Here is a 23,949-nt window from a genome sequence, read left to right as displayed (position 1 = left end):
CTAACAAACGCTACAAACTCAGTTTTCTGATGGGTCCAAGAAAAGTCATTGATTTTCATTTTGCTCAGATTTCTTGTTGCTGTGGGGCAGATATAACGACTTCCCAGGTCTTTTACATGTCTGAGCTGAAACTGGAGTCCTTATATCAGTGGTAAAAATAAATACTCTACTTAATGTTATTCCATTTTACATTCAACGCAATCAAGGAAATTAATTTCTTATACAAGGAGCCTGACCATGTTCCCATTGGAAAGAGATTTATCTAGTAATTTCACTCTACGTAGGTGATTAAATCACATGGGGACAAAGTGAGTGGGCTTATGCTGCACAGTGAATTAGTAAAAGAGCTTCAGATGAGCTGGATTTACATGGACTATTCCTATAACTTACAGCTTGGACACTTTTAGGCCAAACAAAGACTACAACTCATATTCCACTTTCAAGTTGTTATATTTTCCACAAATCAATTACTATCTAAATAATCATCTGCATATAAAATTGTTTACTTTAGCCCTCTCAAAATAGATAATTTGAAGCTAAAATATGAATTATCATCCTCTGTAATTTAGAGAGCATTTTATGTGACAATTAAATGCTGAGCATGGTTAGATGCTTTTGAGAATACACTGTACCATCCTGGTGGCTTATGAGCTTTAGGGGAGAATGATGCATAAATATGAAAGAATATCAAGAACTAAGAGATTCATAGAAGTGCTAAGTGCAGGCCCATTATGGAACATATCAGCTTACAGGCCAGACACTGAAATAATGGGATTATGATAGGTAAGAGTGTCCAGTCCAGGCCAGGTTATTTTAGAGGAATCATGAGAAGAGCCCACTCTGTCCTGGAGCCTACATGGATGGAATTTTTCTGAAACATTTCAAATAAAAGTAAAATAAGCAATCTATCAATTGCCATTAAGTAACAGAAAATTTCTTTATATTATTCCAAAAGTATATCATTAGAGCTGGAATTTAGTAGGTGACCTATAATACTGGTGTTTCTGGTCAGCTATCCTGGCCAACCCCCAGTCTGCTTTTCTAACATGTAACATTAGCAGAGACCATCATTTATCCGGATCTGTGAAGCCTCCCAGAAGAGACTGCAAGGTGAACAGCAGCCAAAAATCAGTGCTGTGGAAAAATGTGAGCTTCTACCTCACATGCCTCCTTTCCTGTTTCCCGCAGTGTTCAGAGATGGCTACTCAAGGTCATGGTTACCCTCACACACAGATTCTGAAGGCTACTCTTGGCTACAATTCAGGTAATGTCCAACAGGGCAAAGTGAGAGACTAGTTTCTTGTCAATAATGATAATCTTTTTTAATACCTAACACCAAAACAGCAATCAATACCATATTGGACTTACTCACTCGTTGGGAATGTTCAGCTAACTAAAGAGGGGTCTGGAATGAAGATTCAGAACAGTTTCAGGAACATATTTATTGGAGTGGCATTCAAATTATAAAACATTGTAAGTATTTGGAGGAGAAAACTTCAAGTTGTATGTGTGTGTGTGTGTGTGTGTGTGTGTGTGTGTGTGTATTGGAATTGAGGGAACATTAGAAATTCCTAACTTAGTAATTAAGCTTCTTGTTATTTTCACTGAAAAAGGAAATCTCAGCCTTATAATTTTCAGCAGATCTAACCCCTAATTTAAATTCTTTGTCTACTTTTCTTCATTTTTTTTTTTTTTGATGAATGCCAGCCAAATCAATAGCACCCAAGCCAATCTCACTGGTAATGTTCTTAAAGGAAATATATACCCAGAATACTTGCCAGGCGTGGCCTAAACAGCTACTATATGCATATTATTTCCAGATTCTTAATGTGTCCCTAGCCCAGAGAAAGGCCTACTTTAGCCTTGTTACAGCTTATATCAAGGCCCAGTCTCAGAAATATTTCTTCATCTCAGAAATACTTTCATGACTCTGATTCTATGAGGAAAGACATCATGCAACATTCAGCCATTGTTAATATCACTTTTTTCTCTTTTTCTTGAACTTACGCAATGACGTTCATAAATATCCATTTTCAATGTATCTATTGATCCATGAATACATTTCTGAAAGGTCATAGAAACTTGAAACTAACTTCTAAGGCTTTAGAACTTTCTTCTTTGCAAAGAACCAAATCTTGTTTATTTTTCATTCACATTAGATATTATAACACAGTCACATGAAATAAAGCAAAATGAGATGAAAAACAGTGTGCTAGTTACTATCATTCTATCATTTAATACTCAGCATAACTCTAGCACATAGGCTATGCTATTTATAATTTCAAAATGAGGAGACAATTTCAAGTAGATTTAGTACATTGAAGTCACATGGTAAAGAGCAGAGGATTTGGGATTTATATGAAGATCTGTTAGCCTTAGAGCAGGGTATTCAGATTTTGCCTTCCTCGGCCACATTATAAGAAGAAGAATTGTCTTGGGCCACATATAAAATACACTAATCATAGCTAGTGACCTTTAAAAAAGATTGCAAAAAATGTCATAATGTTTTAAGAAATTTATGAATCTGTGTTGGGCCGCATTCAAAGCTGTCCTGGCCCACATGCGGCCCGCGGGTTGTAGGTTGGACAAGCTTGCCTTAGAGCCTACATATGTGAAGTAAATTATATTCCATTAAAATCTTAAAGGAGTTTATCATAACCACCAGAAAAAATATTTCTAAAGAATCATATTTTCATAGATAAAACACTTAGTGCCATAGGAAGACCTGCTCATGATGACTAGACACTTCAGAGGCAAAGGAAACAAGCCTTGGTGTAGCCTTGTGCCCTTTCAGAGTGAGCCTTTCCACCCTCTTCTGCTGGAAAAACTTCCACTCAAGCTTAACATCTAGGCTTAACTAAAGCTTAACTTCCACTCAAGCTTAACTAAAGCATTACCTTTCCCCTGAAGACAGACAGGTGGTGGCTCTTTCCTCCGTGTCCTCAGGATTTGGACTGCTTGTAGAATATTTCTGCACCCCCAACACCTAGCTCAGACACTAGAACACAAAAGAAATGTGATAAGTATGTGAAAGAAGAAAAAAGGTGAGATGCTGATCACTGCAAGCCTTGACAACAGTAGCCATATGCCATGACATCCATTTGTCAACAATTTATTTTCCTATTATTTTCTTATTTAAATTCCCCCCCGTTAATGAGAAGCACTTCAGTTAAGTGCTTAATAAACAAGCAATTACTAAATAGACATTAATGGCCTGTTGTATTATTGCCTGTAACATAAAGGGATAGTGAGAGGTACAAATAAAACCCCAACATTCATACATCATCTTAAGGTATTAGAGAGTATTTTATAATATAGGCATTACTTGTTAAGCAATTGCGCACTTTGCTAATTGACTTGGGGTGATGGATGAAAGATTAGCATAAATAACCCCTTTTTGAAGTAAACTAACATTAGCAAGGAAGCCACATGGCACTGGATTTTGACTAATTTGATCAAGAAACGGTCTTCCTTTGTTCATTTATATATAAGTTTGTTAATTTGCCCAAACTAAGCTCAAGTCTAGAAAACAGTACTTCATAGTTGCAAGTAAACCTGAGCGGGGCCTTCTTATCGTAATTGTTTCATTTTGCTTCACAGCTGAGTGTCTTTTCTTCTACTCAGGTGACCAGTTAATCCTGACAGAAGCTCCCAGCCCTCTGTAATTCAGCCCTGTCATCCTTGTGACGTGGATTACCTTTCTGGCTACAAATTGAATCATGGTGGCTTATCACAGTGTTGTTCTCCAAGCCTGGAAGGTATCCTCTGAACAGACAGCATGCCAACCCATGTCACCCTTGCCTTCTTCCCCCACCTCTCATTAAGGTATTGCACAGAGATTGGACTGGAAGTCAGACAGATGTGGCCTGAAGCCCTGGCTCCCCTAACTGTGGAATGGTGCTGTTTTCTCAGTCTCTCTGGTCCTCAACTTCTCTTTATAAAATCGGTGGACAGTGGGAACATATAATAATCTCAAGTACTTAAAAAAGTTTTAACTTCTTCTAAGCTCCTAGTAATTGCTTTTATTTCTCTTACAACATTTTAATTTTTATCAAAATAACACATGTATGGAATTCAAAATGGAAACAAAACTAAAAAGGCAAAAAGACTTTTTCCATTCCACTTTTCCCAATGCCAATGACAGACTGTGATCAATCTTCAGAAAATCTCAAATTAGACTGTAACTTGGATAGCAAACAATGAAGAAGCTTAAAAGAAAGAGAAAAGAGAAAATATAAGGTAAGGTGGTAATTTAAGAAATGCATATAGGAAGTAATTTAACTCAAAATATATTCCACTACTCAGAAGCAGATAATATACATTTTATCCTAGAAATGTAACATAGGATATTGCTCTAATCCAAAACTACCCTGGGAAAATGAAAGGAGGTGGTGAGTGTGTGTGTGTTCAACAATGGTATCCTCATTTTGCATAGCAGCAAGTCAACAGACAATTCTTAAAACTGAAAAACAGGGCCAGGCACAGTGGTTCATGCCCGTAATCCAAGCACTTTGGGAAGCTGAGGTGGGTGGATCACCTGAGGTGAGGAGTTCGAGACCAGCCTGACCAACATGGCAAAACCCTGTCTCTACTAAAAATACAAACATTAATTGGGCATGGTGGCAGGTGCCGGTAATCTCAGCTACTCGGGAGGCTGAGGCAGGAGAATTGCTTGAACCCAGGAGGCGGAGGTTGCAGTGAGCCGAGATCATTCAATTGCACTCCAGCCTGAGCGACAGAGAAAGACTGCATCTCAAAAAACAAAACAAAACAAAAATCTGAAAAACAAGAAATTATGACATAAGCCAATTGTTTTAGAAATACAGGTGGACATCATACTCAGGAGAAAAATGATTAAAGTGATTGTCCCTAGCAAACTAATGTAACCACAAATAAAAAAGTAAAATTACCTAGTTTTTCAAAGCTGTTTATCACATTACAGCAGCTGTGCCCAACTGGTCTCCTCTTTTCTCTCAAAGTCTTTATGTTTTTGTGTCTTTGCTGAATTGTTTAATTCTTTGCTGACGCTTTCTAGTTTTTGTTTTGTTTTGTTTTTTTTGCTGTGTACAGTCATTCCTCTGTATCCATGGGTGATTGATTGGTTCCAGGACCCCTCTTGAATATCAACATATGAGGATGCTCAAGATTCTGACAAAAAAATGGTGTAGTATTTGCATATAACTTATGCACATCTTCCTGTATACTTTAAATCATCTCTAGGTTACTTAGAATACCTAATACAATGTAAATAGTTGTTATACTATACTGGTTTCTTATTTGTATTATTTTTATCGTATTGCTGTTTATTAATTTTTAATATTTTTCATCTGTGGTTGGTTGTTTGTTGGAGCATTTTCAATTCACCTGCCTTAAAATCTTTGTTAGATAATTTTAACATTTGGTTCACCTTAAAGTTGGTATATATTGATTATCTTTTTTTCATTCAGGTTGAGATATCCAAATTTCCTTTTTGTATGGGGACCCAAGTCATATAAGATGATGGGCCCAACCTACTCCGGTATTCTCATACAGTCACATTCTGAAGTTCTGAGGATCAAGACTGCAACACAGAAATCTGGAAGGAGGAACACAATTCAATTCCTAACAGCAGTATAAATGGATCCCCTCTTTAGTATGATTTTTAGACTTTATAGGAAACATTCTCATTATTTCTCAGTTATTTCTGGCATAATGAATGAAGTTTCTTCTGAATGTGGCAAGAAGTGTGAACCACTTGGCTGCTCAAGCACAAATGGGGATTTGCAGGGAGAAGCTGGTGCTGTGGTCTCCATTTTCCTAAGAATGGTGCCAAGAATAAAAAGCAATGAAGGGTTTGTGATAAAAGAGTAAATAGTGTAAAGATGTTCAAACACTTCTACGTAATAAATCTGTATTAAAATGAATATTTGTATTTCCTTAATTTCATTAATAATGAAACAAATGAAGAAAATTAGCCATATGTTGAGTTCATACAATTTTTTAAAAAACACATATTTTGTTTTATTTTATTTTAAAACTTATTTGTATTTATTTATTTTTAAAGACAAGGTCTCACTATGTTGCCCAGGATGGTCTTGAATTCCTGGGCTGAAGTGATTCTTCTACCTCAGTCTCTCAGATAGCTGGGACTACAAACATGTGCCCGGCAAAGATATACAATGTTTTCTACCAATTCTTCTCTATCCCTTCTTCCTGATAGAATACAAGCTTGAAGGCTAGAAGTGCGATGGTCCTCAGCTCATATTAAATTGACAAACATTCCTGAAGTAGTAGTCATAGACTTAGCTCTTAGCTAAAACAAAAAACAAAAGCAGAAACAGCAGCACATGCGTATGTGTTATATTTATTAACTGTGCAGTTTTAAAAGGTAGAGTTTTCTAATTAGTTGAAAAATTTCTTACTATATCAACAATACAAATGTGTTTAGAATTCATATTATGTCATTGTTATCATAATTGGACCTCAGGAATGTAAACAGAAATGTATTTGGGAGAGGTGCATATCGCTGCTGACCCTGTTGGGCTATTACATTCTTTTAGACTAGAAAATGTACAGGTGACACTAAGCCAGTGGCAGAGAAATTGGAAGATTTGTCGAGTGCTGTGACCCTACTCAATTCTTCATAATTTTTCTAGCAGCTCTCACGTTATTTTTAAAATTTAAAGTCCAGTTTTCACTACCAGATAATTTTGATTGACACTGGAGTGACAATGTCTGTTTTCTCAATGACACCTACTAGTTCTTACTCATTACTTGTCACTGGCATGAAGGGCAAGCAACTTAGTTAAACTGTTCATAGGCCTTACAAAGCTTGTCTTTTATTTTTATATGGAGGGGAAAAACAATCCTGGAGTGAAAATATGCCTTAATTTAAAGACGAATTAAGTGTCATAAACGGCTCATAAGCACAAACCTCCTGAATTGTTCTAACGCAAGAGGAGCAAATGAAAGAACCACATGAAATCCCCACCTTAATCATTTTATTTTATGACAAATATCTTGCTTGAATTCTTGCATTTTCTTATATGCCAAATAATTTCCAGCTTGAAAAATAACTAGAAGCCATAAAATCATTTACTGTTGTATTATTTAATTAGTCATTTTACAACTCTTGTATTTCCCAAATCCAATAGCCCTAATTTTTTTGTATTTTAAGTTATTTAAACTTCACAGCCATACAAGCAGATGTATCAGGTAAGCATGTGAGATGGTATGTTGAATATATTACCATACAGTATTTCTTTATGCAGAATTACACACGGCAAATTCTCAGGTGCAGTGACCAAACAATCAAATAAGATGCAAGTACTCTGGGAACCACCAAGTTTGGACAGAGGATTATAAGCTACAAAGTTAGGAAATGTAGGAGAATATTTACTTTACATAGAGGGAACAGAATGAGTATAAGCGCCAAAGCAAGTATAGCTTCTGGGAACGAGCTTATAGCTGGAGCTCAAACGAAAGGGAAGGGAGAAAGCCAGGCTGCAGAGGTGACTCCATGACTGATGCCATAGTTTCTCTTTCCCCAGGAGCATAAACAAGCAGCTGTGAGGAGCTGGGGATAATAATCTCACCATAAAATTCAGAGGAGATTCGGGATTGGATATGTATTTAGGGAAGAGTAACTAAAATAGACAAAAAATGAGGACTAGAATTTAGGATGGGGGAAAGACTTAAAAGAATAAGACTAAGGGAAGAATAAGAGGTTTTAGAAAGAGATAAAGAATGGAGGCGACCCATTGAACAACTGGGTCACCTAAAACACATCCATCTAAGGCATCCATAATGTTGATCTGAAATAAAAGTCTAAGGCAAAATTAGCATAAGTAAAGAATTTGTTTTGGCCAAATTTGAGGAGTGTAACCCGGGAAACACATATGCAAACTACGTCAGAGAAGTGCTTTCAGCTGGGGAGTTTACAAGCAGATTTTTAAGGACAAAACGAAGAGGTATACCAAGGTGGTCTCAGCCTGTTCATCCAGAAATACCATTGGTCAACAGAAAGGAGCTAACAGATGATTGGCTAAAGGCTACAGCACTTCTTGGAATAGTCATTATCAGTTTGTGATGAAACCAGCTCCTGGAATTCTTATAAGTAAAAAGGTACAGGAATTTCAGGCGAGTAACTGTGGCATCATGACAACCCTGTTTGGTCATTGTAATTTAGTTATCCTCATTTGTTGGGTTTTGTTTTCAATAAGCATGACCAGTGAGAATCTCCCCTTTTGTTTGATCCAACATTACAGAATAGCTTACTTTTCCACACAGCCTTGACTCTGTAAAGTTTAGATGATCTTGGAGGCAATTAGTAGACTGCTCTTTAAACCTTCCTCTAGTTGTCTGTATATCCCAACTTATGCAGAAATGGTGGTCAAAATGGTAGCTAATATGGGTGAGAAAATAAAACTTTCTCCATGCCCAACACCCTCCACACACATTGGAGTTCAACAGTAAAGGTAGAAGGAGCAAAAGGGATTCAACAATGAAAAATAAATAACCTCTCTGAGAAAAGTAGAGCCCTTTACTTTCCTCCCACAGAGAAGCGGCCATGGACATATCTTTTCAGATGTGTCAAAAGAGTCTATTCCTGTGGCTACCTGAATAACAAAGACCTAGGCAGAAATCATTGAGTTGTAGATACAAACACTCTCAGACTAGCCAGACAATTGCAGGAGGACTGGGGAAGGAAGAATAAGATAGTATCTCCGGAACTTAAGGAGAAGATCTCTTGAGAAGCAGATGCCAATAACTAGAGGGAAACCACCTCAGGCTGAAAGGGTAGATAACAGTCTCCATCGTCTCTGGTGCCACGTGGTCAATCATTGTTGTTTCTCTCTAGGAGTCTGCTTTATTACTTTTTCTTAGAAGCATGGCCTTCTCAGCCTACCTTTCACTTATTTCAGATATGGCTACCCAGATTAAATTTTACATGAGCATTTCACTCGGGGACCCCAAAGAGAATAAGGAGGGGCTCTGGGACTCAAGTTTACCTCATAGAAGAAGGGATCTGAGTGGCCCAACCTGGATGAAGTGACTTTTCTAATCAGTTGTCTTTAGGATTTTTAAAATTATTATAAACAGGGGTCTAAGTGTTCATGGATAGTGTGGTGACTATACAAGCAAATTCCAAGAGCAAGACTGTCTCATATGAAAGGTTGCATTTCTTAGCAAGAACCAGGTCTCTAGCAAAGAGCAAACATTCAGTAAATTGTTTCTGAATCTATTAATAAATGATAAGAAAAGGCAAGGGAAATCAACATCCTCACTGCATGCCTTCAGACGTGTGTTTCCTATCAGATACGGGTATTCCAACAGAAACTGGAGAAAAGAAAATACAATGCATTCACTGGACAGAAATATTGTGGATGGGGGGCAAGCATTGGGACAGTGGTGAGCAAAATTATTCTTGAGGTCCCCATTAATCAAAATATTTGTGGCATCCAGAAGCTTGAATCTTTAAGGACAAATATGAATCTTTACCTATCTTCTTTTACTCTTCTCTCCTTTCTCCTAAACTAATTCTAATATATACATTTACTTTTAAAATTTCATAAAGCCTATCTAATTGGGAATTTAGGTCTCCTTGTGGACACCAGAAGGATATAAATGATTAGGGGAAATCCCACCAAACAGAAAGGGCAAGAAGATGTATGAATGAGTAGTAAGCTCAAGAACAACCCATCAGTCCTCTTCTTTATTTTACCCCCAACCCAAAACTTAGGGATGAAGCTTCACGAAGCTCTCTTTTGTGAAGGAGAGAGGCCTGTTCCGTTGCCGAGGAGTGCGAAGCTGCATATTGGCTTTGGGATGACACTGGGTATAAAATTTATCACTTGTGATATCCCTGTGTGATCTTCTACACACATTGTTTAGCTTCTCCAAGACTTTTCTTTGGAAAGCCCACATAGAACAGAAAAAAGAAATGCCATCTTTTAAACTATCTATTTAACTATCTTGTGCTCCCATGTTTCCAAGGTTGGGGTATTGGGAGAGTTGGTGAAAAAGCAATATGTCAACATTAACTTGTCTCCAAGCAGGCATGACTTTCAATATCAAATGGTCAAAACCTCCAACTTTTAATGGATCCTAAATGAGTGCTTCAAAAATACTGTCATTTGGTAATAAAGTCATACTCGAAGTAACACTTATTTGGCTGAATTTCCAGAGACTGGAGAGAAGGTTAAGATCCAGGTGGTTGCTATGACAAGAGCATGATGACTTATTCATCTAACACTTTGTTGATGTCAGTATGATATAGCCCTTCAGTTCATGGTTTAAAAAAGCAAAGGGAGGGCGGTTGCGGGAGGGAGCGGGGCAGGCGCTGTGGGCCAGGCCCCTCCTCTGGCTCCTGCACCACCTCCTCCTTCCGGGCTCCGCTGGCTCCGGCCATCCCCGCAAGGCCGCTCTGTGCCCGCCGTCCTGAGAGCCCGCGCGGCGCTGGCGCGAGCCTCGGCGGGCGCGCGCGGGGCCGTGGTCGTTGCTCCCTGACCGGCTGCGGCCGCCTCCAGGAAGCGGAAAAGCAAGCGGCGGTCGAGCTGGGCCGCCGCGCCCCTCTGCTGGCAGCGCTGCTCTTTGACCTTGCAGGGTGTGAAGAAGATGCGCAGCTCCACGCTGCAGGACCCGCGCCGCTGGGACCCCCAGGACGACGTGTACCTGGACATCACCGATCGCCTTCGTTTTGCCATTCTCTACAGCAGACCAAAGAGTGCATCAAATGTACATTATTTCAGCATAGATAATGAACTCGAATATGAGAACTTCTCCGAAGACTTTGGACCACTCAATCTGGCAAATGGTTTACAGATATTGTTGCAAGATAAATAAGAAATTAAAGTCCATTACAATGTTAAGGAAGAAAATTGTTCATTTTACTGGCTCTGATCAGAGAAAACAAGCAAATGCTGCCTTCCTTGTTGGATGCTACATGGTTATATACTTGGGGAGAACCCCAGAAGCAGCATATAGAATATTAATCTTTGGAGATACATCCTATATTCCTTTCAGAGATGCTGCCTATGGAAGCTGCAATTTGTACATTACACTTCTTTTTATTTTCTTTTTCTTTTTTTAAATATTTTTTTCTTTTATTATTATACTTTAAGTTTTAGGGTACATGTGCACATTGTGCAGGTTAGTTACATATGTATACATGTGCCATGCTGGTGCGCTGCACCCACTAACTTGTCATCTAGCATTAGGTATATCTCCCAGTGCTCTCTCTCCCCCCTCCCTCCACCCCACAACAGTCCCCAGAGTGTGACGTTCCCCTTCCTGTGTCCTGTTTTCATGCAGTAAAGAAGGCAATGCAGTATGGCTTCCTTAATTTCAACTCATTTAACCTTGATGAATATGAACACTATGAAAAAGCAGAAAACGGAGATTTAAATTGGCTAATACCAGACCGATTTATTGCCTTCTGTGGACCTCATTCAAGAGCCAGACTTGAAAGTGGTTACCACCAACATTCTCCCGAGACTTATATTCAATATTTTAAGAATCACAATGTTACTACCATTATTCGTCTGAATAAAAGGATACATGATGCCAAACGCTTTACGGATGCTGGCTTCGATCACCATGATCTTTTCTTTGCAGATGGCAGCACCCCTACTGATGCCATTGTCAAAAGATTTCTGGATATCTGTGAAAATGCTGAGGGTGCCATTGCAGTACATTGTAAAGCTGGCCTTGGTCGCACAGGCACTCTGATAGCCTGCTACATCATGAAGCATTACAGGATGACAGCAGCCGAGACCATTGCGTGGGTAAGGATCTGCAGACCTGGCTTGGTGATCGGGCCTCCGCAGCAGTTTTTGGTGATGAAGCAAACAAGCCTCTGGCTGGAAGGGGACTATTTTCGTCAGAAGTTAAAGGGGCAGGAGAATGGACAACACAGAGCAGCCTTCTCCAAACTTCTCTCTGGTGTTGATGACATTTCCATAAATGGGGTCGAGAATCAAGACCAGCAAGAACCCAAACCTTACGGTGATGACGACGAAATCAATGGAGTGACACAAGGTGATAGAAGTCGGGCCCTGAAAAGGCAAAGACAATCAAAAACAAACGATATTCTTCTCCCATCTCCCCTGGCTGTGCTGACCTTTACACTGTGTAGTGTTGTCATCTGGTGGATTGTTTGTGACTACATTCTTCCCATCCTGCTATCCTGACTCGAAGATTTCAGAACATAGTAGCCATCAGGACCCCCTGACAGATAGCTGCTTCTCTCCATTTCAAGGACTAAAACTGTTTTGCATTAAGTAAAAACCTGTGACCAGAACTGAAGGAAGACTCTAGGAACTGAAAACTGCAACAGAAATTAGCACAATTTGAAAACAAAACAAAATTGCAAAAGACTTAGTTGCTTTCCACCTAAGAAGCTAATCAATGGAGAAAATGTCCACTGGGGTTTCAGTAATGAACTTTTGAGTTTGGGTGCAAGCAAATGTACCAAGACCAGCTCAGTCAGGGAGACCCTAACCCAGTGGTGCTAGAGGAATTAAAGACACACACACAGAAATACAGAGGTGTAAAGTGGGAAATCAGGGGTCTCACAGCCTTCAGAGCTGAGAGACCCGAACAGAGATTTACCCACATATTGATTAACAGCAAACCAGTCATTAGCATTGTTTCTATAGATATTAAATAAACTAAAAGTATCCCTTATGGGAAACGAAGGGATGGGCCTAATTAAAGGCATAGGTTGGGCTAGTTAACTGCGGCAGGAGCACGTCCTTAAGGCACAGATCGCTCATGCTATTGTTTGTGGCTTAAGAATGCCTTTAAGCAGTTTTCCACTCTGGGCTGGGTGGGCCAGGTGTTCCTTGCCCTCATTCCGGTAAACCCACACCCTTCCAGCGTGGGCATTAGGGCCATTATGAACATGTTACAGTGCTGCAGAGATTTTGTTTATGGCCAGTTTTGGGGCCAGTTTATGGCTGGATTTTGGGGGCTTGCTCCCAAAAAGAATGACTCAAAGAAAGGCCCAGCTCTCAAGCTGAATGACAAAAATGCTGTTGTAAATTTAGTCTCAGGTGTAAATACCCAAGCCCTCTGGTACCCAGGGAGCTGGCTGGTCTGTGGTGCATGTGTGTCCTTGTGATGGCAAGCATTGTAGTTGCTGGCCTTCAGAAGAATTGAGGATCTGATGGAGGTTTTTTATGTATTTATTTTCTGTTCAGCTTGCGACCCTGTGTCAAAATTTGTAAAGATACAAAAGGCATTACTGAAATGGTACTTTCTGTAATTTGATACTATTTGGCTTTATCATCTTCACTTGACTGTTTGTAATACTGTAGTAATATTAACTCTGATAAGTACCCAAGCTGCTTGTCTTCCACCAAAGAGTGCTTTATTAACAAGAATCTGTGAAAACCACATTTAAACACTGTTGCATGTTGTAATATCAGGTGATACCTTGGTAACCTAAAACTTGCAAGAGAATATTAATGGTAGCTTTAGAAGACTCAGGAGGAGAAACTGACTTCAGAGTTGGAAGATGTTGCAAGTCATTCCTTTTTCTGTCCTTTAGGGACTGAAGAACTGGGAGGTTGCCCATTGTTTGGTTGCCAGTCATACAAATTAAAATCATATTTCCTTCCATGCATGGAAAAAACACACTATTGGTTTTTCGCCTTGGAAACAGCAATCTCAAATAATGTCGGCTTTAAAAAAAAAAGTTACCGCTTTTTTAGAGTCCTTCTCTGTAACATTGGATTTTTTTTTCCTTATGAGATCAGCCTAAGGCCATTGATAAGGCCTGTGATCTCAGTAACAATGATCTGCTTCTGAATCTCACTGCTGCCTTTGGCTAGGGAACACAACTAGTAACTCTGCAGAGTGCCTTCTCCCGCAACCCTACTGGAACACAGCAGAGTCTGTGCCATGAAGAAATTAGAGAAACAGAATTGTTTTGCTGCTAAAAAAAAAAAAAAATGGGGCCCAAAATAAAAGAATATTTAGTACTCACCTCAGTTCCTTCCATAAGAGGTGGGTGGTTTAATGATTGTAAACCCATTTTTGCCTGTGCTGGGAGCATGGAGGGCTGAGATGTTGACAGGCAGTGGGAAACAAATGCCCTCCTAAGTCACAAGGCGTGCGCCAGATCAGGAGGCAACTCCATTTTAAGAAGCTGCCTTTTTCACAAAACTGTAAGAAATCAAAGCAGTTGGAATAAACAAGTTAAAGTCTTTAATGCAAAAGGTAATTGAAAGGCAGTGCCTCCATTTTGGTGTACTTTCTTGGAAGAAAGCATGAAACTGACCGGCATCACGAGAGACGGAAGATGCCGTATTCTCAGCCAAACAAGTGACTCTTTCCCTGCCAAGCACTATGTGGTGGGGTCAGGCTAGCTTTTAAACACTGGGGACTGGATCACAGAAAAACAGTGGTTTTCTGTCCCTGGAAATGAATAGGCACAAAGACCCACTTGGCTGTGGGAAGACCACTCTTCAATAAGATTTTGGTGGGAGGAGGAACATTACTTTTGCTATTTTAAGCTGAGACAATATAAATATTTAAACTGTGCCATGCATAAAGCATTGAATTCTCAGGGCACCACTTCTTCCCCTTACCCGTTTTAAGGCCATCCCCTTCATAAATAGTAATCCAGGTAGTTGTGAAAATTGTGCTTCCATCTGATTCCTTCTTAGTTTGGCTTTTCATCCCATCAGAACAAGTAAATGTGGGTGCCACAGCTTTTGTGAGTACTGTCTCCCTCACGGTGAACAAGCCTCCTGGTGTTTTGTCTGAGAAAAGGAAGGGTGTTGGCGGAACAACAGTCCTTTTTCATTTTATAAACTGCCTCTTCATGTTGCCTGCTCAAGTTTCCACCTAGAATTGCTATCACTGTGACTCTTTCTAAAAATCCTTCTGTTTAACTGGCTCACTGAAATTAGTCATAGAAAATTTGTGATTTGGTGAAGAAACATTCCTTGTAATAATCAAATGACTTGGGATGGTGTGCATAGCAACAGTGTTACACTTACGGGGACCGTCTCTAGACTTATGGGGACCATCTCTAGAATCCAAGAAGTCTCTGGGTCTGAGGGATGGAAAGTTCTTCCTGCTATGAATGAGAGTGGACTCTTCCCCTCACCCCCAACTAAAACCACAAACACCCAGAATCTTCTGGGATTAGAGTCCTTGTTATAGAAGACCTTGTTGCTATGGAACATGAAACTGTGTCTGTCAGATAGATTCCCTTAAGAGCCTTAAATAGCCCTGAAAGTACACCGGGACAGTTTGCGATGGAATTAAAATTAGAAGTGAATATTTTTAGGTGCCCTTGAAGCTTTCTGGGGACTCAAAATTATCAAGAGTCAATGACAGTCTGGAGGAAGAGTATCTGCAAAACTGGGTTCCTGGAAGTAGGGACGGACGTGGCTTTTTGTAGAACTTGGTGGAGAGCAGCTCCTCATGAGAGCAGAATGGCCTGGCGTGGCCAGTGCTTCCCGGCAGCACGCGGGTCTGCCGGCCTCCAGGATTTCCCCGTTCTGACCTTGATGCCCCTAGCCTGTCCCCTACCTACTTCCTCCCCTCCCCTCTAGCCCTCTCACAGGGGTGATTGCTACCTCTCTCTTTTCTTGGGCCTAGGCAAGTTTTAGAGGAGTTCCCAAGCATTGTCATGAGGCCAGTGTGCTCGAGGCCAGTGTGCTCGCTGGGGCTGGGCCGGATGTCCTGGGCTTGTGCATGGCCTGAGGGCTCTCCTGGAGCCCTCCCTTTTCCCAGTCACCATCTGAGCCACAGAAGCAGTGCACTCATTGGATGTCTGTTGTTAACATAGCTTCTCTTTCTACATTTAAAAAAAAATCATTATTGCATTTTGGAAAGCAGTGCTCATCACAAGCAACTTTTAAGACCTATTTTATTGTTCCTTTAAATGTTCTCTCCCGCTGACACTGCCCTGGAGAGGCTAGCTGCTGTTCTTCCATTTCCCCACATCAGGGTATTCTCCTCGTCACTGAGTAGAGATGACTCCGGATGTGTTTAAAGACTGGACAATTCACCTATACCGTGTAGGAAATTACCTCCTTAATTACCTGGTAAAATTGTCAACAGACATGTTCATCCGGTGATAGTACTGCAGTTTTCTATTAACAATTTGCAGACTTTTATCTAACCTGCACTCATGTACAGATTAAAAGTTTTAAAATGTAACTGATCAGTATTGATCAATCATTGTCTTGATTATTTTTTACAGTGTATATTTCTAATCATATTTTTTAAAGCCAAGAGAACTGGTTGAATGAATGTTTATTTTCCTGAAGGTATTTTTAAGATAAAGCTTCCTAATGGCCTGTAAACTTTGCGTATGTGTGTAGTTTGATACATATTGTCACGTTTGAAAATCTTGTGGGTTGTAACTGGTTTTATACAAAACATCGAATAGTGGAAATTGTATAATTACAATCATGTAATTAAAAGTATTAACCCCCCCAAAAAAATAATAAATAAATAAAAAATAAAAAAGCAAAGGGAAAATCTGCAAAGCAGATACCAGACAAGCCTTTGAAAATTCACTTGTCAGTAAAATCACAGCAAAGTTGGAAAATTCATCCGTCATTCCTAGTGCTTTTGAAATCCTCACAGGGGACACCTGCCTCCACAGTCAGCCTCTCTGTGACAAATGATGTCTCTCATGAGGCTTCTTGAATTCAGGCTGCTATCTATGTGACACTAACAAGAGAAATACTGTGTTTATTCAGATCCATTGATGTGACAGAGGACAAAACGTATTAGAAGAATGGAAAAGTTTATTGAGTACATGCTATTTACCAGGCTCTATGCTAAGAGCTACTTTACTTAGCCTGTTAAGAAGGGTACGCGGTGGCTCATCCCTGTAATCCCAGCACTTTGGGAGGCCGAGGTGGGTGGATCATGAGGTCAAGAGATTGAGACCATCCTGGCCAACATAGTGAAACCCCATCTTTACTAAAAATACAAAAATTAGCTGGGTGTGGGCACCTATAGTCTCAGCTACTCAGGAAGCTGAGGCAGGAGAATCGCTTGAACCCGGGAGGCAGAGGTTGCAATGAGCTGAGATTGCACCACTGCACTCCACCTGGCAACAGAGCAAGACTCCGTCTTTAAAAAAAAAAAAAAAAAAAAAAGGGAAGGCTAAGTATGCTAAGCCTGTCTACGGCAAATGATGTCTCTCATGAGACTTCTTGAATTCAGGCTACTACTTGTATGACACTAACAAGAGAAATACTATGTGCATTCAGATCCATTGATGTACAGAGGACATAAATGTATTAGAAGAATGGACAAGTTTATTGAGCACATGCTATTTACCAAGCTCTATGCTAAGAGCTACTTTACTTAGCCTGTTAGGAAGGCTAAGTAAAGCTTGTTAGGAAGGCTAAGTAAAGTAGCTCTTAGCATAGAGCTGGGTAAGAAGCATGTATTCAATAAACAAATGTCAGGTGAGTAGAAGCAAAAATGAACTGATATGTCTTATTCTGGTTCTACTAAAGTAGCAGTTGCCAAACTTTCTGGCACCAAGGACCAGTTTCATGGAAGATGATTTTTCCATGGACAGGGTAGGGGAGTAGTTTGGGATGAAACTGTTCCACTTCATATCATCAGGCATTAGATTCTCATAAGGCTCAGGCAACCTAGATCCCTCGCATGCACAGTTCACAATAGGGTTCCTGCTCCTATGGGAATCTAATGCTGCCACTGATCTGACAGGAGGTAGAGCTCAAGCGATAATGCTCACTCACCAGCCACTCACCTGTGTGGCCTGGTTCTTAAGCAGTACTGGTCTGTGTCCCAGGAACTGGGGACCCCTGTACTAAAGCATTTTGAACTGAGAGTTCACAGCATTTAAATAAAGTGTTAAAAGAAACAGAGGGGCCAGGCACAGTGGCTCATACCTGTAATCCCAGCACTTTGGGAGGCTGAGAAGGGTGGATCACAAGGTCAAGAGATCAAGACCATCCTGCTCAATATGGTGAAACCATGTCTCTACTAAAATACAAAAATGAGCTGGGCGTGGTGGTGCATGCCTGTAGTCCCAGCTACTTGGAGGCTGAGGCAGGAGAATGGCATGAATACGGGAAGCGGAGGTTTCAGTGAGCCGAGATCATGCCACTGCACTCCAGCCTGGTGACAGAGTGAGACTCCATCTTAAAAAATAAATAAATAAATAAATAAAAAATAAATTAGCCAGGCGTGGTGGTGGGCACCTGTAATCCCAGTTACTCGGGAGGCTGATGCAGGAGAATCGCTTGAACCTGGGAGGTAGAGGTTGCAGTGAGCTGAGATCGTAGCACTGCAGTCCAGCCTGGGCGACAGAGTGAGACTCCTTCTCAAAAAAAAAAAAAAAAGAAGAAGAAGAAGAAGAAACAGATGAATGGTTTTCCATTTCCCAAGCCCAGCAGAGGAGTAAATGGTATAAATATGTGGGATATGACACCAATAAGGAATGCTTTATTTACAAGTATCAGAATGCCTGATCAAAAATGGCATTACTGCTCTCCTATAGCAAGACATCTATGAGAAGGTAGCTGCTGCTGTTTGATGGCCTGTGCTCTGGGTTGGCATTTAGGTGATATGAGCATTTATGATTACCAAGTCTTTCCATAAATTTGGGCTTCATGTCCACAATCACATTCAAAGACAGGAGACTAGGAAGAGTGCAGGACAGAAGTGTTCTTCCCTGGGCTGCTGCTGCTTTTTTTTTTTTGCAAGAAAGAATCTTTGGAGGAACTCCAAACTCCGCTCCACCCCAGAAGACTCCCTTGCCAATCATTTGCCTCATCTCTCCTCATCAGTTGCAAGGAGATTGCTGTCTGGCTTTGCTCACCTTCACAGAGGAGGACAGCCAAGGGAGAAAGAGGGTGAGGGCAGCCTGTGGTAGACATTGTGGCAACAACATGTGTCCCAGACTGGTTAACACTAATTACAGAAATTTACATTTCACCTCCATGTAGGCAGATTTTGGGCCTCATGAAGAATCACACTGCTTGTGAAGATAATAAACTTCTCCATTGGTATTCACAGACATCCCTACTATGTGGCAGACTCTGAATTATGCACAGGGAATGCCAAATTTATAAGATCAATGTATGTCCTGGAGTAGAATTTACAGTCTAGTGAAATATGGTTAGAGACCAATGGCTCTAGGAGTTAGCCAACAAGGGACTCAATCATGGTGCCCCTCCCACTACACAACCAGGACACTCCATGAGGGAGGGACTTCGGAAGATTTTATTCACAGGACCTCTGTGACCTCGTCTCATACACATACAAGAGGAGCTTTACTCTTCTCTCTCTTACACAATGCGTGTGACTCAGACAAAGGTTACTACTCTAATTTAACCCTTACCCTCTCCCATCTGAGCTACTAATGACTATTTTGCGGCTGGGCATGGAGGCTCATGCCTGTAATCCTAGCAGCTTGGGAGGCCAAGGTGGGTGAATTGCTTGAGGTCAGGAATTCAAAACCAGCCTGGCCAACATGCAAAACCCCGTCTCCACTAAAAATACAAAAATTAGCCAGGCATGATGGCACATGCCTGTAATCTCAGCGACTTGGGAGGCTGAGGTGGAGAATTGCTTGAACCCATAAGGCAGAGGTTGCAGTGAGCTGAGATCGTGTCACTACACTCCAGGCTGGGTGACAGATTAAGCAAGACTCTGTCTCAAAAAAAAAAAAAGAAAGAAAGAAAGAAAGGAAAAAAAAAAAAGAAAATGCCATTTTGATAAACATGTATGCTGTGGTTATAGTTTTAATTATTTGAATATTAGCAGGTTTAAATTTTAATACATTTATTAATCACTTTTCCTTTTTATCCTATATGTTTCCTTTTGTCATATAGAACTTTGCTGGAGCTCTATAGTTTCCTTACTGATATCAATTTTGATCTATTTATTAATCTAATGTCTGAGGGAGTTTAAATGGTGAGTAACCAAAGACAGGAGAGGTCTAGTAACCACACTATATACCGAAGATGCAGAGTTACTGACCTTGTTTTGTGTAAGACTTGCTGTAAATTTCAGTCTTGGAGTTACTATAGCTGAAAGACATTTCTTCACGTCTATATATCTGCCCATTGCCGAGGTATTTCTGCATGGGTCCCTCACTGAACCCTGATGAGTCTAACCAGTACAAGGTCCAGTGCATGGAAAAGCTACAGGAGGGCATCTATAAGTAGGATTTTATAGAAGTTTTAAAATGCAGTTGGAGAGCCCCAAGCAAGAGCCAGAGGGCATGGGATAGTGTCAACCTCACTGTTTTACCAGGATTCATTATGGTACTTTGCTCACAGACAGAGTGACCTTGTTCAACTAACAATCATATTAACATATAAAATGATAAATGAAATTTGAGGAAATGCATTCACTTATACCTTATTTTCCCTTAAAGTGAATGCCAGGGCACATAGATGGTTCCTTTTGCTCTTCCTTTGTGCTTTTCTTTCCATCCTTACTCCCCAACAAGGAGATGTCTGCATCATAGTACAGAGTGGTTCTGGCATTCTGGTGAGTTTTTGTTCAGAAGGTACCCCAGTCTAAGGATGTGAAGACTCCCCATCCCAGGCTTCAACGGTGAGAGGCAAGGACAGCACATCTTCTCCGCTTTGGCTTAACGGTCCATTGTGACTCCTGGGGAGCATAAAGAGCATTCTAGGAGGGACTAGAAATGGATGCAAAGGCAGTGGGGTCTAAACAAAGGGAGGTGAGTAGGACAGGCACTTTCATACCAGCAGCAAATGCTTTATGTGTTAAGGAGAAACCAGGTCTGGATATCCTGTTTGGCCATAAATCTGATTGCATTTGTTTTGGTAATGAACTCTGCTTGAACCTTCATACAGAGATTTCAGAGGAAGGGGGGAGGATCCAGATGCATGTGGTGGGCATTTCTTTCACTGACCAAATTCAGTCCGTCACTAATTCTTGGACCTTCTGCTCATTTACTTGATGTTGAGTAGACATGAGACCTGCTTTGGCCAATGAAACAGGAGCAGAAGTGATGTGTCTCCCTTCTATATAGAAGCATTTAATCCTGGTACTCACCTTATTAACTTGATTTATCCCTGCTAGAGAAATATGTTGACACAGAGGCATGTGAAGTGGAAGGAGGCTGGACAGCGTGGCTGGCAACTACAAAGAGCTGCCCAGTACACTTGGCAGTGTTCACTGGACTTTGACAGAGCAAAATGAGCAGGTGCCCATGTGCTGCTGCACTGAGATTTAGGGTGACTTGGGGTTATCACACATCTTCTTAAGATACCAATTTTTTCCCCAAAGTAGGGAAATAGCTGTACTAACTATATTGTACACAGGCTAGAAAGCAAATTCTGCAGTAATGTGTGCTCTAAAGCAAGAGATTCCCAACAGACTTTAAGCTGCTTGTCAAGCTTGGTTCCCACACCTTCCTGGTCCACAGCATCCCTCATCTGTTTGTGGAGGAGGTGCTCTGGTGCCAAGTGCTGGGGGCCACTGAAAAACCCTGTGGTGTGACATGGCAGGGATTACTATGTCTACTTCACAGATGCGGAAACTAAGGCTCAAACGTTTAGGTCAAAAGACTGGCCCCAAATCATTAGCTCAATGTGTGATGGAGATGAGTTTTGAATAGGGCTTGAGACACCATGGCATCATGATGAAAAAGTTATGTATCCTGGATTTTTGCTAGCTGTTCACCAGTCTCATTACAGTAAAAAAAAAAAAAAGATCAAAAATACACTTTTTTCAAAAGTTTATGTCCCTGTGGTATATTTTAAGAAAAAATAGGTTACCTTTGAACATAAGAATACTTGTCATGCTGCATTTTTCTTCTGAATCATGTTGTGAGTCTTCACATTATTCTCATTAATCCTTTCAGAGTTCTCAATGGATACCAAGCAAACCTGACACTTTGTAGCTGAAAATCCTGCTTGGCCATGTGGCTTCACAGCATCTCAGGACCAGGAATAGACCCTTTGTCTCTGAAGTCTTGACCCTGGATTTCAAAACCTAAAACCCAATCCCACATTGGGAAGTTAGATACATCACACAGAGAGCACCCATGTTTGAGAGATAAAGTGGGAAGGGACCCAGTTTGCATTTTGGGAAGTGGAATCAAGCCAGATTGGGTGAGGTCAAGTCAGGAAGAAGTTTCCCAAAAAGTCCTTGTAGGTCGTCTTTCCCATTACAACATAAGGCCTCTGAGGGAGGGACCGTCTTATCTCACTTTCACATAGCGTATGGTACACGCTACACAATTTGCCTTGTTCAGTGAATAAATTGATGAATTTTCCAAGTCCTTGAATTTATTAGATAAATTAGAGCATGAAGGATAATGTACTGTATTAATGTTCTCTTGCTGCATAACAAATTACCCAAAAACTTTGTTCCTTATAACAAAAAGCATTTAATCCACAGTTTCTGTAGGTCAGTCAGGAACCCGGGAGTTCTATGAGCTGGGTGCCTCTGCTCAAGGTCTCTTGCAAACCTACAGTCAAGGTTTCAACAGGGGCTGCAGGATCATCTGAAAACTGGAATGGGGGAACATCTGCTTCTGACCTCACTCAAGTAATTTTCAGCAGGATTCGGTTCCTAGATGGCTGTCCCAGTTCCCCCAACATGGGCCTCCCAAGGCATGCCACATGGGCCTCCCCACATGGCAACCGCCACCATCCACTCATGCATGCAAGACAGAGGCCTCCTGAGGCAGAAGCCTGGGTATTTTGTAACCTCATCATGAAAGCAACATCTCATCACTTCCAGCGTGTTCTATTCATAAGTGAGTCACTGAATTCAGTTCACACTCTCTTTTAATATCTTTCTTTTTTAGCTTCCATAATGTTACTATGATATGGAATAATTGGCCATTTGCCAGGAAGTGGGGTCATTAAGGAGGTGGAGTCATTAAGGACCTTCTTCAAGGCTGCTCGCCACGGGTATTCTTCTGTTTTCCTTTTTCTCATATGGTATTTTCACATGGAGATTTTAGGTAGGAATAATCTTTTATTTTTGAGCTATCTTTTCTAGTTTTTGCTACTAAGAATTTTTGTTCTTGTTATAAAATTGAGGTCTCTCACTCTTTTCCTTTCCCCCCATTCTCTCTCATTCCTTTTTTTTTTTTTTTTTTTTTTTGAGACGGAGTCTCGCTCTGTCACCAGGCCAGAGTGCACTGGCATGATCTTGGCTCACTGCAAGCTCCACCTCCCAGGTTCACGCCATTCTCCTGCCTCAGCCTCCCGAGTAGCTGGGACTACAGGCGCCCGCTACCACACCTGGATATATTTTTTTTTTTTTTGTAATTTTAGTAGAGGTGGGGTTTCACCGTGTTAGTCAGGATGGTCTGATCTCCTGACCTTGTGATCCACCCTCCTCGGCCTTCCAAAGTGCTGGGATTACAGGTGTGAGCCACTGCGCCCAGCCTCTCTCACTCTTTTAATACCATTTTCTTTTCCAGCTTCCATAATGTTATTATTATATAAAGTAATTGGCCATTTAAAAATTTAAAATGAGTAAATATAGCACTTTTTGGCTTTGCTATATGAGCTTTTTAGGACTTCAAAGTTTTTAGATGTGGTGGATAAGGGTTTCCTACATAACACAGTCCAAAGTATATTTAATGCCATCACTTGTGTGTCAGGCAGGGTCACTTAAGCCAAAACCCTCACTACAGTTTTCAAATGACAAAGAAGCAGGAGAAGCATATTGTAGTGCATGTAAGACTGAGGGCAGGATGATTAGGTTGGACCAGTCCCAGCCTCCCTGAGGCCAGATAGCTGTGTAATGGGATTGTACAAAGCAGGTGCCTCAGCACTGGGGCTCCAGGCCTCTGGGAATCCCTTTTTTGCTCATATTCCAATTCGAAATAAAATATCTTTCCTATCAGCACACAGACACAGAAACACGCACATAAAACTAGAGCTCCAAATTATTTCATTAGAAAATTTACAGGTGCAAATAAACAGAAGTGAGAATTAATATAAATTGGAAGCATTT

At 40.7% G+C, this 23,949-nt stretch overlaps 1 pseudogene, besides 1 other annotated feature; it reads left to right on the top strand.

Moving 5' to 3' along the window:
• Positions 8,726–8,926: a silencer, noted in NCBI's record as "peak6515 fragment used in MPRA reporter construct". NCBI's record gives its function as "represses an SCP1 promoter by STARR-seq MPRAs in K562 erythroleukemia cells {active_cell/tissue: K562}" and the evidence as "EXISTENCE:reporter gene assay evidence [ECO:0000049][PMID:32103011]".
• Positions 10,660–12,231, top strand: CDC14BL (CDC14 cell division cycle 14 C-like; annotated as a pseudogene).

The sequence above is a fragment of the Homo sapiens genome, chromosome 7 (assembly GCF_000001405.40).
Source record: "Homo sapiens chromosome 7, GRCh38.p14 Primary Assembly".
Lineage (NCBI taxonomy): Eukaryota > Metazoa > Chordata > Mammalia > Primates > Hominidae > Homo > Homo sapiens.
The sequence above is the reverse complement of the archived record's forward strand: the minus strand, read 5'-3'. Positions and strand labels throughout refer to the sequence as shown.